Source organism: Homo sapiens, chromosome 10 (assembly GCF_000001405.40).
Source record: "Homo sapiens chromosome 10, GRCh38.p14 Primary Assembly".
Lineage (NCBI taxonomy): Eukaryota > Metazoa > Chordata > Mammalia > Primates > Hominidae > Homo > Homo sapiens.
In genome coordinates, this window is record NC_000010.11 from 121,982,501 (window position 1) to 121,997,829 (window position 15,329).

The 15,329-nt window shown below is 44.6% G+C and overlaps 1 protein-coding gene across 39 annotated transcripts in view; it reads left to right on the plus strand.

Annotated features, from left to right (window-relative positions):
- The window catches only part of TACC2 (transforming acidic coiled-coil containing protein 2), a 265,380-nt gene continuing 256,713 nt past the window's right edge, over nt 6,663-15,329 (plus strand). For 33 of the 39 annotated variants that reach the window (XM_024447756.1, XM_005269390.1, XM_017015485.1 and 30 more), the window contains exon 1: nt 12,132-12,210. The gene's annotated coding sequence lies outside the window, so the exon portion shown is untranslated. Of the gene's footprint in view, nt 6,989-12,131; nt 12,211-15,329 lie in introns of those variants that run through there. The other 6 variants (NM_001291877.2, NM_206862.4, NM_001438366.1 and 3 more) reach the window with 1 other exon arrangement.

Here is a 15,329-nt window from a genome sequence, read left to right on the forward strand (position 1 = left end):
TAGGGTTCAGATGAAATCAGATCTGATTGGGTGCTGGGAATTCTAGGCTTGGTGGCCATGTGTAGTCCAGCCAGGGCTGAGTTAGAGTATCAGTAATGCATTTATTGTGGCAAGTGTCATGAACGTGTCACTTGGAATCATTAAATATTGAGTGTGGGCACCTGTAATCCCAGCTACTTGGGAGGCTGAGGCAGAAGAATCGCTTGAACCCAGGAGGCGGAGGTTGCAGTGAGCCGAACTTGCACCACTGCACTCCAGCTTGGCGACAGAGCAAGACTCTGTCTCAAAAAAAAAAAAAAAAAAAAGAGAATATGTAAATGAATAAAAAGAGCCACTAAAGTAAAAAAAAGTATATGATCTCTCTCATGTCAACAAAACAGGGCATGTTAGTAAACATGATCACACCTGCTAAGTACTTGGAACCTCAATTCTAGACCACATGCCTCAGTCATGCTGTAAACCAGTGCTTCTCAAACTTTCACATGCATTCACATCACCTGGGGATCTTGTTAAAAATATAGATTCTGATTCAGTGGATGTGGGATGGGCCTCCAATTTTACATTTCTATTTTTTTTTTTTTTTTTTGAGACAGAGTTTTGCTCTGTTGCCCAGGCTGGAGTGCAGTGGCACTATCTCAGCTCACTGCAACCTCTGCCTCCCAGGTTCAAGCGATTATCCTGCCTCAACCTCCCAAGTAGCTGGGACTACAGGTGCGTGCCACCACACCCAGCTAATTTTTTTCTTTTTCTTTCTTTCTTTTTTTTTTTTTTTTTTTTTTGTATTTTTAGTAGAGATGGGATTTCATCATATTGGCCAGGCTGGTCTCGAACTCCTGACCTCAGGTGATCCGTCCACCTCAGCCTCCCAAAGTGCGGGGATTACAGGCATAAGCTGCCAGGCCCACCCCAATTGTACATTTCTTTTTTTTTTTTTTTTTTTTGAGACAGAGTTTCGCTCTGTTGTCCAGGCTGGAGTGCAGTGGTGCAATCTCAGCTCACTGCAAGCTCCGCCTCCTGAGTTCACGCCATTGTCCTGCCTCAGCCTCCCAAGTAGCTGGGACTACAGGTGCCTGCCATCACGCCTGGCTAATTTTTTTGTGTTTTTTTAGTAGAGACTGTGTTTCACTGTGTTAGCCAGGATGGTCTTGATCTCCTGACCCCGTGATCCGCCTGCCTTGGCCTCCCAAAGTGCTGGGATTACAGATGTGAACCACCACACCTGGCCCCAATTGTACATTTCTAACAAGCTCCCAGTTAATAGTGATGCTACTGATCAGAGACCACACTTTGAACTGCGAGACTTAGGAGATACAGAACAATTTAAATATGTTTACTCAATTGTGAAAGCCCGAGTGAAATCTTTTTTGTTGTTGTTAAAGGAGAGTTTTCTTTCTTTTAGAGCTCAGACATAGGAGCTCCTGGTTCTTAGGTCTTCAGATTCCAGGAATTATACCAGCACCATCACCCTGCCACCTGCTTCTTAGGCCTTTGGCCTTGGACTGGGAGTTACACCATCTGCTCCCCTGCTACTCAGGCCTTTGGACTCCGACTGCAGTACACCACCAGCTTTCCTAGTTCTCCAGCCTGCAGATGGCATATCGTGGGACCTCTCATCTTCTCTAATTCCATGAGCCAAGGCCCACAAAAAAATCTTATCTTACGTATCTACGTATATCCTATTGGTTCTGTTTCTCTGCAAAACCTGACTAATACATCCTCTTTCCGTATTTGTAAATTCCTTCTCAACAGTAAGAACCCTGGTTCCTATTATCATTGATAATAGGAGTCATTGCCTAATCCTCCTGTAACCAATCTCTGGCCATGCTGGCTGCATGCTTGGCACTCAGGCTTTGACACTTAGCTGCAATTGCTGATGCTCTCAGTGTTTTCCAAAGTGTTAATCCAGCTGGGCAATAACACTATACTTACTATTTCTTTCATGTCTCTAGCACCTGATACATCCAAGCTAATACATTTCCTTCACTAAGGTACCATCTGAGCTCATCACTAGCAAAAGTTTTAGTAATTGCACCATCACCTTCTGCCAGAGACAATCTGTGTGCCACCTTCCACCAATGATGGTGTCCTCATAGCCAGGTGGCAGGTGACTCAACCCCAAACATCCAGTCCTCCTGTTTTGGTTTTTTTTGGATCACCCCACTTCTGGTACCAATTATCACAGGTTGGATTCTCTGGGAAGCAGACTACGAAACAGATTGGCATGCAGGAGGTTTGTTAGGGGATGTATTGCAGAAAGGAAGGAAACAGGATTGGGCAGAGGAAGCAGCTGAGTTTCACACTATGCAGCTCTCTTCCGCTGAGGCAGTCTGCAAAGGGGCACACAGCTGAGAGCTGTCTGCTGGCAGCATTTCCAGTCACTGGGAAAATAATTTCTTTTTTCCCTGGACAGTGCATCACAGGTCCCCCCACAACATCATCAAGGCTGTTCTGTAACCACAAGTAAATCATCTCTTCTTCATCTATAAGTTGATTCACAAATTTGGAAATCAATGTGGAATATTTTTCTTTTTGGATCTCTGTGAATATTGTTTGATACAGAGCTTGTGATCAATAAGATTACCAATTACATTTTCTCTTTTATACTTTTGCTTTCCTCTACAGTTTCTAATTGCTTTTTTGGTACTATTTGAAGAAATATATTGTCAACTTTTTCCAACCTCTTCATCAAATTCACTTTTCTATGGAAATCCTCCTTTTTTTTCTTTTCTTTTCTTTTCTTTTTTCTTTCTTTTTTTTTTTTTTTTTTTTTTTTGAGACAGAGTCTTGCTCTGTCTCCCAGGCTGGAGTGCAGTGGCGTGATCTTGGCTACCGCAACCTCCACCTCCCGAGTTCAAGCAATTCTTCTGCCTCAGCCTCCCGAGTAGCTGGGACTACAGGCACCCACTGCCACACCCAGCTAATTTCTGTATTTTTAGTAGAGATAGGGTTTCACCATGTTGACCAGGCTGGTCTTGAACTCCTGACCTCAGGCGATCTGCCTGTCTTGGCCTCTGAAAGTGCTAGGATTACAGACGTGAGCCACTATGCCTGGCTCTCCTTTTTTTTTCCCCTAGAGATCTCCATCCCAGGGCCCTGTGTCTGCCCACTTCAATTTGGATGAGCTGTTATTCCAGTCTTGCTACACAGTTGTCACCATGGGGTTTCCCTTTACTGCCATCCTTGGTTAAACTCATTGCTTTCTGGATTCCATGTTTAAAACTTTTGTTTCGTTTATGCCCTGGTTTTGCTGAGGTATTTTCTTAGAAGAGATGTAAAGCAAGCTAGTTTTATGAGTCTAAAAAATGTCTTTATTTTTCTTTTCCATTTAGTTGAAGATTTGACTGGATATAGAATTTTGAGCTGAAACTAATTTTTCATCAGGAATTTAAAAGCATTGTTCCATTGTCTGCCTGAAATGGATTCTTTCTTTTTTTTTTTTTTGAGATGGAGTCTCACTTTTGTCACCCAGGCTCTAGTGCAATAGTGTGATCTCGGCTCACTGCAACTTCCGCCTCCCAGGTTCAAGCAATTCTCCTGCCTCAGCTTCCCGAGTAGCTGGGATTACAGGTACGGGTCGCCATGCCTGGCTAAGTTTTGTATTTTTAGTAGAGATGGGGTTTCATCATGTTGGCCAGGCTGGTCTCAAACTCCTGACCTCAGGTGATCTGCCCGCCGCGGCCTCCCAAAGTGCTGGGATTCCAGGCATGAACCATCATGCCCAGCCAAGATTCTGATCCAGCATTCACTCAACAAACATTCCAAGTATGTTCTAGGCACTAATGATACAGGTGCTCCCTGTAAATTCTTCATAAGTTAAAAGTATTGTAAGTTGAAAATGCATTTAACACACCTAACCTACTGAACATAGGGATATGGGAGTTAAGAAGAAATTACTTGGGCAGATAGTGAGGGTACGGAAGTCCTTGGTAAGGCTTTTATCCTTAATGAAAAGCAGCCCCAAATTGTTTTTTAACAAAGAGCAGCCTATAAAGTTGAGCTGCAGATATAAACAAGCAAGCTGGGAGCTTGCACAGGTGAATGCCGGCAGGAGCTAGGGACTATATGTGTTCAAGATGGTGGCTCTGTCTTCCTTTCTCTTTGTCGACCACCATACAATGTATTAAAGAGCAGTCAAGATAGTGCTGATCAACTGGAGAGTCCATTTACATAATAAGATTAGGGTGGGGCAGCCAGTCTTCCTCGCGGGCTATGTAAATGTCATACCTGATGGTACCAATCTATGAGGTCTGCGTAAATCAGACACCACCTTTTCCAGCCTGCCTATAAAATCTGCTGCGGTCCGCCGCCTCCCGTTTTGGACTTCTCTCTCTCTCCTTTCTTCTATTAAGTTTTCTACTTCTTAACCCACCCACGTGTGTCTGTGTCCTGAATTCTTTCTCATTGTGAGACAAGGAACCCCAGCATAAATACTCTAGACAATGTAGCTGTTAAAGTAGCATAGCCTAGCCTACCTAAAACGTGCTGAGAACACTTGCATTAGCCTACAGTTGGGCAAAATCACCTAACACAAAGCCTAGTTTGTGACAAAGTGTTGAATCTCATAGAATTTATTGAATACTGTACTGAATTTGAAAAACAGAATAGTTGTTTGAATACTCAAAGTACAGTTTCTGCTGAATGCATTCTCTCTTTTGAGCCATCTTATGATAAATCTACATCAAATTATTGTTATGTTAGGGAAGGAAACTGCCTTTGCAGAACTGACAGTAACAGAAATGTGACATGGTTGACTTCATCTTGCTTCTGACCTCCAAGCTGTCCTTGGTTATTCCTGGGCATAGGCCAAGCTAACTTTGGGAGGAATTCAATTTATAGTTTAATTTGAAAGTAAAGATTATAATAGTCCCTCCCTAAAACTAACCCCCTCCTTTCTCAGGGACCAAAATCGCCTTTGTAAGACTAATGAAAGGCCACAGGAATAGGATAATGGGAGAAGGCAGAACTCTGCTAAAATGTAGGCATAGTTTCTATAGTCCCTTAATGCCCAGGGGTCATGTGGCCAGAGTTCACAAGATCTGTGACTTTCCCAATTGCTCCTGTAAGTAACATCACTATTGTAGAACTTAAGATTGGGGTGTTTGTTTGTTTGTTTGTTTTTGTATTTTTAGTAGAGACGGGGTTTCACCATCTTGGCCAGGCTGGTCTCGAACTCCTGATCTTGTGATCCACCCACCTGGGCCTCCCAAAGTGCTGGGATTACAGGCGTGAGCCACCGCGCCCAGCCAAGATTGAGTTTTTTAAGATGTTTTTCAGACTGACCTCACTCAGACTCATGACTCATGACTCAACAGGTCCTGGGGCCCCACCCAGAGGCAGACTCAGTGCATGAGGACTGCTTTCCACACCGGTATGATTTCATCCCCAACCAATCAGCGGCACTATCCCCCTACCCCCTGACAACCAAATTGTCCATAAAAACCCTTGTTCCGAGCCTACAGGGAGACTGATCTGAGGGATAACTCCAGTTCTCCCACGTGGGCTCAGCCTCGCGGCAGTTAAACTCTTTCTCTATTGCAATGCCATGGTCTCAGTGAATTGATTTTTGTCTGTGCAGTGGGGAAGAAGAACTTGTTGGGTGGCTCCAGAACCATCTGTATAATGATGAATAAGACAAAGTCCCTACTCTCATGGAGGAGACAGATAATAAAGAAAAGAAAAAAAAAGGATTTGGTCATTGTAAGTGCTATGAAGAATTTAAATAGGCTAAAGGGATAGGTGGAGAATAGAAGTTGCATTTTTTCTTTCCCTCCAGATAGAGTCTCACTCTGTCACCCAGGCTGGAGTGCAGTGGTGCGATCTTGGCTCACTGCAACCTCCACCTCTGGGTTCAGGCAGTTCTCCTGCCTTAGCCTCCTAAATAGCTGGGATAGCAGGCACCTGCCACCACGCCCGGCTAATTTTTGTCTTTTTAGTAGAGAGGGGGTTTTACCATGTTCGCCAGGCTGGTCTTGAACTCCTAACCTCAAGTAATCCACCCACCTCGGCCTCCCAAAGTGCTGGGATCACAGGCATGAGTCACTGTGCCCGACCTGAAAGTTGCTATTTTAGGTGTGATGAGCAGCACAACATCTTTCCTGAGGAGGTGACATTTGAGATGTGACTTGAATTGTGAGGAGTAATGTGTCATGCAAAAATACAGGGAAGTCATATTGTAGTCAAAGGCAATAGCAAAAAAAAGTCTTTGGGGTTAAAATAAGTCTGACACATTCAAGAAAGTTCAGAAAGGCATACATACCTGTGTTAGAGTAGGTAGCTAGGGGAACATGAGAAGGGCAGCAGAGGGCATTCCACCCCCACCCCCAACCAGGAATGTCAGGCGACCATCATGTGATGGTCAGGTGGTTGTTACACTGTTTCTCTAAAATCATCATTGGTTGCAGCCAGCACCAGGGAAAGGCCGGCTCCCAATAGATAGAAAACACCTGAAGCTAGTGTCAGCCGCTTCCTGATAAGATCTCAGGAGTTGGGCAAGTGGGCTCAAGCATGGGCCCTAAGGGGCAAAATGTCAGAGTTTAACTAATATATGACCTTCCTCTAGGAATTCTCGACTGGCAAGGGAAAAATGCCTCAAATGAGCACGCGCACAACTTCAGTAAACACACTGTGAGTGCGGCCACTCCCAAGTGCTGGCAGACCACTGCATAAGTGGACAGCCTGCTCCAAGGGAAGGATCAGGAGAGAAGAAACGCAAATCCCAGAACCGTGCCAACATATAAAACCCCACATTAAGGGTTGTACAGTGCACTGGGATTTCTCAAGTCACCCGCTTGGTCCTCTTCCAAGTATACTTTACTTCCTTTCATTCCTCTCTAAAACTTTTTTAAAAACTTTCACTCCTGCTCTAAAAGTTATCTTGGTTTCTTACTCTACCTTATGCCCCTTGGGCGAATTTTTTCCTCTGAGGAGGGAAGAATAGAGTTGCTGCTGCAGACACATCAGATTCCCTACTGGTAACAGCTGGAGTGCGGTAAGTAAGGAGGAGAGGGCTGGAAAATGAAGTTGGCTCTGATTCCCATTACTTGAAAATACAGGGTAGGAAAACCCTATCTTCTTAGGTTCAGTGGCTGGGGAGCACCATCACTCAAGGTGAGAACTGCCTGGCTGAGCCCAGCCAACTCACAGAACTGTATGAGGTATTTTCATCTACTGTGCTAGGCACCTAGTGAGAGCCCTTTTGCGTCTTTCAACTTTGGAAAAAATTATGATTTATTTTTATTTTTTAAATTAATTTTATTTTTTTTTTTTATGTTTTTAGAGATAGGTTCTTACTCTGTCATCCAAGCCAGAGTGCGGTGGCATGATCATGGCTCACTGTAGCCCAGAACTACTGGGCTCAAGTGATTCTCCTGCCTCAGCTTCCCAAGCAGCTGGTACCACAAGCACATGCCAGCATGTGCAGCATGGGAAATATTTTTATGTTACCACCTCGACACTTTCTTCCTTCTACTTTTCTGTGTCATGTCTGCATCTCCCGTCACTTAGATAGGGACCTCACAGTTTGATTCTCCAGACCTTTAATATTTTTTCATATTTTAAATATTTCTTTAATTCTGTTTTTTGAGATATTTTATTAAATTTACCTTCAACCTTCTGTGGATTTTTTTTTTTAGACAGGGTCTTGCTCTACTGCCCAGGCTGGAGTGCAGTGGCATAATGATGGTTCATTGCAGCCTCGACCTCCCGGGCTAACGCAATCCTCCCACCAGGAGCAATCCTCTCAAGTAGTTGGAACTACAGGTGCATGCCACTAAATTCAGCTAATATTTTTTATTTTTTATAGAGATGGGGGTCTCGCCGTGTTGGCCAGGCTGGTCTCAAACCCCTAGGCTCAAGTGATCCTCCTGCCTCAGCCTCCCAAAGTGCTGGGATTATAGGTATGAGCCACCAAACACTGCCAGAATTTTAAATATCAGGATATAGGAAAGGTTTTGCTTTCGTTTTCAATTTTGTTTTTGTCTTATGGCACGGGGCCAGGCAGGGCAAAGGGTAGATTCCATTGACACTTATTTTTAATTTTCTGCCCAAGTACGTTCCCACCATTGTTCCTGGTGTTTCAGACCCTCTCCAGGGTCTGCAGAGTCTTGTTTGGCTGGAGCCCCTTCTACTCTAGTCTAATGCCCCTCTGCCCTAATTCCTCAACTACCAGGCCGTCACTGCTTTCCATTACCCACAACCATGGAGAAAGCTCTCATCAGCTAATGTGCCTTCTCCAGTTTGCCACATTATTACATTATTGTCTGGACATACCTGTTTTTTTGTTGTTGTTGTTTGTTTGTTTGTTTTTGAGACAGGGACTCGCTGTGTTACCCAGGCTGGAGTGTAGTGTTGCCTTCTCGGCTCACTGCAACCTCTGCCTCCCAGGTTCACTCGATTCTCCTGCCTCAGCCCCCTGAGTAGCTGGGATTACAGGCACCTGCCACCACGCCCAGCTAATTTTTGTATTTTTAGTAGAGATGATTTTGCCATATTGGCCAGGCTGGTTTCAAACTCCTGACCTCAAGTGATCCACCTGTCTCAGCCTCCCAAAGTACTGGAATTACAGGTATGAGCCACTACGCCTCATCTGGACCTACTTGTTTTTAAAAATGCCTTTGTTATCATTTTAATGAAGTCTCTTAAAGGAAAGGAGTTGCATTTGTGTGTTCTGTCTTCTTCAGTAAAGAGAGGGCTTTTATTTATTTATTTTATGTATGGAGATAAATGAACCTTAAACATTGTATATTTTTATTTTTATAAATCCACCTGTTTACTGTCATTTCAAACATTACTTTAAATTTATTTTCCCCTCAGAGCTTTTAAATAATCAGGAGCTCTAAGCATTGCCTGGGAAATGTTTTGTTTTCTTTGCGCTGTCCGCCACATGCTAGTGATTTTCAGCAAGGTTGTGTTTACGTGTATTTCAACTGGGCAAATAGGAACTAATATGAAATAAAATAACATTAATCAAACCTGACTTTATGAGCAAGTTTTGAAATAGTTCACATCTCAAATTAAAAATAAGTCTTTTTTGCTAATTAATGAATGAATGTTTTGGTCAAGAATCATTTCAAAGCTGAGCAGCTGAGTGAATGATAGAAACTGCACTCACACTGTTGCTGTATGGTGGCACCATCTCAGCCGGTATACAGAGATGTCTGCAGGTTTTCATCAGGATCATGGGAACTGCACTGTTGTTTACAGACATTGGAACTCTGACTTGTGACTTTAGTGTAATTTAAAACTTTTTTATATCTCAAAGCCATTTGCATTAGTCCATTTTCATGCTGCCGATAAAGACATGCCCAAGATGGGCAATTTACACAGGAAGAAGGTTTAATGGACTCACAGTTCCGTGTGGCTGGGGAGGCCTCATAATCATGGCAGGAGGCAAGGAGGAGCAAGTCACATCTTACATGGATGACAGCAGGCAAAGAAAGAGCTTGTGCAGGGAAACTCCCCTTATAAAATCATCAGATTTCGTGAGACTTATTCACTATCATGAGAACAACATGGGAAAGACCTGCCCCCATGATTCAATTACCTCCCACCAGGTCCTTCCTGCAACAAGTGGGAATTTAAGATGAGATCCGGGTGGGGACACAGCCAAACTGCATCACCATTTCACCCACGTTTTATGTGTTGGTGCTAGTGGGAGTACTAAAAAACTGTTCCCAGATCAATAAACTGGGAACAAAAGTGAGAAGTGGTAGAAAGCTGTGAAGAAGGCCCAGAACAGCCCACCCTGATATGCCAGGCTGTTCTTTTGGAAGAAAGCAGTTTGTACACAAGAGAGGTGATGCTGAGAAAGTGAAAAACCTGAAGGTTTTAAGAGCCGAAAAAGTGCTAATGTGAAAACACGCCACATGGTTTTATGTAGGGGCCCCTTTACTTTAATGCTTTTTCCAACAGGAAAATTTGACTTAAGTTATTTGAGTGCAGAATTACACAAGAACTTCAAGAAAAGTTATAAAATGTAATTGCACAGAACAACTCAGTTCTAGAATAGGGATTTTCCATTTTTGGAGGGCTTTTATGTACATCATCATGATTAAGTCATGCTGGGCCTATGAAGAAGGTGGAGTGTGGGATCATTCTCTTTTTCTGCCTGATGAAATGGAAGTGCTTAGTGCTTGGGCAATTGATCCAAGTCACTGCTAGAAAATAGGTGAATTGGTTGGGCATGGTGGCTTACGCCTGTAATCCTAGCATTTTAGGAGGCCAAGGAGGGTGGATTGCCTGAGCTCAGGAGTTTGAGACCAGCCTGGGCAACACGGCGAAACCCCGTCTCTACTAAAATACAAAAAATTAGCCAGGCGTGGCAGTGGGCACCTGTAGTCCCAGCTACTCCAGAGGCTGAGGCAGGAGAATTGCTAGAACCTGGGAGGCAGAGGTTGCAGTGAGCCAAGATCGTGCCACTGCACTCCAGCCTGGGCAACAGAGTGAGACTGTCTCTAAAAAAAAAAAAAAAGAAAGAAAAAATAGCTGAATCGAGACTTAGCATCCAGCCTTCAGAACCCTCATTCAAAACTCTCTGGGAAGCTAGGCATGGTAGCTCACACCTGTAATCCCAGCACTTTGGGAGGCCAAGGCGGAAGGATCCCTTGAGCCAAGAGTTCAAGAACAGACTGGGCAATGTTGCAAGACCCCTGCCTCAACAACAAACAAACAAAACAAAACTCTCTGGGAGGTCCTTTGGTATTACAGCATTTTAGTTATTATAAAACTCAGTCTTCTTAAGGAAGACAACTCAACTAACTTTTAAATGTGTGAAAAAAAGGAGTTGTAGTCACTTGAATTTGCACTCTGAATACTAGAATAATTTTGAAAATTAAATATTTCCGATGAAAATTAGATTACCTTTTAAATTTTCTCTGAAAAATTATACATTCACATGAGATAAAATCCCTAGACTAGAAAAGAAATATGAGAGGGAAGTCTTCCTCTTTCCCTGCTCCCGAGTCCACCCACTGTCACTAGTTTCTTATGTGAGTTTCCAGAAAGAATTATTTATATATTATAATGTAGCACATTGTATGGTTAGGTTTAGATCATTGCCTTTATAATGTAGTATTTACACATAAATGTATATCCTCCTTTCGGGGCTTTTGTTTGTTTGTTTTTTGTTTTTTGTTTGTTTGTTTTGGAGACAGGTTCTCAATTTGTCACCCAGGCTACAGTGCAGTGGCACCATCACAGCTCACCGCAACCTCAACCGCCCTGGCTCAAGCGATACTCCCACCTCAGTATCCCAAGTATGTGGGACTACAGGCGTGCGCCACCATGCCTGCCTAATTTTTTTGTTGTACTTTTAGTAGACTCTACAAGGTCCCTCTGTGTTGCCCAGGCTGTTCTCAAACTCCTGAGCTCAAGTGATTTGCCCTCTTTGGCCTCCCCAAGTGCTGAGATTATATAGACGTAAGCCACCACACCCAGCCCCTTTCTTTTTTCTTTACATAAACAATAGTATATCATACACACTGTTCTGTATCTTAATATTTTTCACTTGATGTATCTTGGAGAGTTTTCAGTGACGGTATATAAAGAGCTCCTCACCCTTTCTCCAGCCGCTTCGTTTCCCATTGTATGATTGCATCTTTAATTCCCTGGCTACTGATGAAACTGTAGGTGACATGCTGTTTAGAACTCGCCTAACTAACTGCTCATTCTCCCTTTCTAAAGGAGGCATATTGACATGTTTGAAAAGGACTGCTTGATACTGTCAGCTGAGGCTGGTGATGACCTGTCCCTATTTACTAGAAGCACTGCTAATTTTATGCCTTGTTTTTTTCTTCTTTTATGGTTGCTTTGTTTTGAAAAGTGGCTTGTCCCAGCCAAAATATAAGTCAAGTAAATCAAATTGCAGCCCAAGGTAGTTGACACTGGCTTCGGATCCCAAATAAATGTGTAGTGAGAAGCACAGAGAGCTGGAGGCTGGCGGCACCTGCAGGCTCCCTGCTCCTTATTACCCTCTCCCTCTGGGCTGCAGAGCCTTCTGGAAAGCCGCTGCCTGGCCTGGGTCAGATTGCTTACACGCCACTGCCTCCCAGGCCGGCGTTCCCAACCTTAAGCCAATGCACATTTATAGAACAATTCCATGTGATCCTGGGGAAGACAGACTGCGGGTGGAGGGCAGTGCTGAAAAGGAGCCTCTGGAAGAGAGGGCCTTCTCCCGCTTCTCTCCTCCTCCTCTCCACGCTGGGGGGATCCTGGGTGAGTGAGTCTCAGACTGAGGGCTTCTTCCTTTGAGCAACCTGTGGCTTTAAACCGGTTTGACTACTGAGATTAGAGGGATAAAAGCATTGCTTGTTTGCTTTCCTTATAAAGTGAAATTAAAGGCATATCTGTGCCTCTCCACTCCTTGTTTTTTAAGCCAAATGAACTGTACTTTTTCTAATACGTCACTGGTTACTTTTGATAGACTATGGCCCCATTAATCTAGACCTCGATCTCTTCATTTGTGAAATAAGGAGTTGCGCTGGATGATTACTGGAATTTCTTCTGGCCTCTGTTGTGATTCTGCCCATCACAAATTTTAGTTTCAAATGTTTGTGATTCTGCAGAATGATGACTTCAGAGAGAACCCCTAAGGCCCTGAGGGTTTGTAGGACTTTGTGGGAGAAAGTCATTTGAAAGCTCGTATTGTGTTGACCTTGACATGTTTGCACAGGTATTTCTCTAGACTCTCACAAGTGCCTTTCCAGGCCTGTTTCTGATGTTGTGCCTGCCAACTTGAGCCGCCGTGTGATCTTGGCAAACGCTGTGTTTCTGAGTTTGACTTGGTGTCAGTTATAACTGAATCATCAGGTTAAAGCCAAAGTTAGGCAGAATTCTAAGCCTCATGAGAGAATCCTACAGTTCAGTTAAACACAGAAGTGTGTGTGTATGTACTGTTTCATACCCTGTTCCATAAAACAGAAACGCCCCGACCAAAAGCCTTTATCCCACTGACACCACTTATAATCTATTGTGTAATATCTGCGTATGTGTGTATACAGGGGGCAAAACTCCTCCCAGTTCTAGTGGCATGGTGAGTGTATTAGTCTGTTTTGCATTGCTGTAAAGGAACACCTGAGACTGAGTAGTTTATAAAGAAAAGAGATAGTTGGCTCATGGTTCTGAAGGCTGTACAGGCTTGGCACTAGCACCCACTTGGCGTCTGCTGCCGTCTCAGGAAGCTTTCACTCATGGTGGAAGGCCAAGAGGGAACAGGCATGTCACATGGCAAGAGACAGAGCAAGAGAGATGCCAGGATCTTTTCTTTTTTTTTGTTTTGAGACAGAGTCTCGTTCTGTCGCCAGGCTGGAGTGCAGTGGCGCAATCTTGGCTCACTGCAACTTCCGCCCCCTGGGTTCAAGCGATTCTCCTGCCTCAGTCTCCTGAGTAGCTGAGACTACAGGTGCGTGCCACCATGCCCAGCTAAGTTTTGTATTTTTAGTAAAGATGGGGTTTCACCCTGCTGGCCAGGCTGGTCTCAAACTCCTGACCTCGTGATCTGCCCGCCTTGGACTCCCAAAGTGTTGGGATTACAGGCATGAGCCACTGCACCTGGCTGCCGGGCCCTTTTCATTTATATTTTTTATTTGAGATAGGATCTTGCTCTGTTGCCCAAGCTGGAGTGCAGTGGTCCAGTGTAGCCTTGACTTCCTGGGCTCAAGCACTCCTCCCACCTCAGCCCCCCGAGTAGCTGGGACCACAGGCACGCACCACCACACCTGGCTAATTTTCTTATTTTTTGTAGAGAGACCGGGTCTTGCTGTGTTGCTCAGGCTGTGTTGCTCAGGCTGAGCTCAAGCGATCATCCTGCCTCGACCTCCCACAGTGCTGGGATTACAGAAGAGAACTGCCTCACCTAGCCTCCAGCCCCTTTTAAACAACCAGCTGTCATGTGAACTAATAGAGTGAGAAGCCACTGCTTACTACAAGGAAGGCACCAAACCATTCCTGAGGGATCCGCCCCCATGACCTCCCACCAGGCCCCACTTCCAATGCTGGGGATCACATTTCAAAATGAGATTTAGAGGAGACAAACCTCCAAACTCTATCAGTGAGAGAGAAGAGGAATGAAACAGAGGGAAAAATACAAGATTCATTTCTTCATTTCATTCAGCAAACACTTATTAAGTGATGCTAAGCAGGCAGTCACCATGAGGTGTAGAATGACCACAGTGGTCCCAGGCCACATGACTGAGAGAACGAGGTCCTCTAAATCTGATGAGCAAGGCAAGAGAGGGATTGGCTTGAGGGAAAGATGTTAAGTGGACATTTCAAGAGGCTGAATCATCTAAGCAGAGACATTGATGGGAGATTTAAAAATGCAGTTGGTGCAGGAGTGAGACGTCAGGGCAGGTGCTTTAGGTTTAGAGTCTTTTCCCTGGACTCAATAGAGAAAGCCATGGGAATCAATGGACTCTCCAAGGAGAAGACCAGGCTAGAACACCAAATCCTGAAGCTCCTGGTTGGCTTCACTGAGAGGGTGGGAGGAGGAACTGGAGAAGGAGAAAGAGAGTGGGATTTTGCAGCAGCTCGTTAGAAAAGCGTTAGGTGGAAAGAGCCTGGAGGTGGGAGTTCAGGGGATAGTCTCAGATGCTGCAGAGAGGCTGAAAGAGGATGAGGACGTAGATGAGACCAGCATCTGGGCATCATGGGCAGCTTTTGAGTATGCTTTCAATTGGGGCACATTTGGTTGCAAGAAACAGAAACCCACCCGAAAAGGGGCATTTGTTGAGCAGACATAGTTCTGGGCTGCAGCAACTTCTCACTCCTGCTTCTCAGCAACCACTGGCTTCATTCTGGTCTGAGGGTGGATGGATCTCCTCTGCTGGGATCTTACCCCGCCTCTCCCTAAGTCCAGCGTGCACAGACTCTGGGCTTCTCTACCACTGGTCCTGGCCACCATTCCTCATTGCCTCGTGATGAGTGGCCTCCTTTGATGGTCTTCCTTATCAAATATCTAAAGAGAAAATCTGATTGTCCCCACATAAGCCAGAATCTACCCTTAGTCCAATTAGCAGGGTCTAAGAGGTGGGTTGATGTGGTGGGCCAGGACCACTCAGACAGGAGGGAGATGGGACATGTTGGGAGGGGTGAGGAATGAGTGGTTTTCAGAGAGAAGAACAAAGGCAGGCCTTCCAACGTGGCTGCTCAAGTGTGTGCTGTCATGGGAGCAGAGAAATGAATGCTGAGGGTGATGACAGTGTTTCTAACTGCATGCAAGGGCACATGCTTAACGGCCAGGGACATGCTGGGGTAGGGGACAGCTCTGCTGGCTAATAGGGGAGAGGGAGAGCATGGTAAAATACAATTATGTACCCTTGGAGCATTGGTCAGTA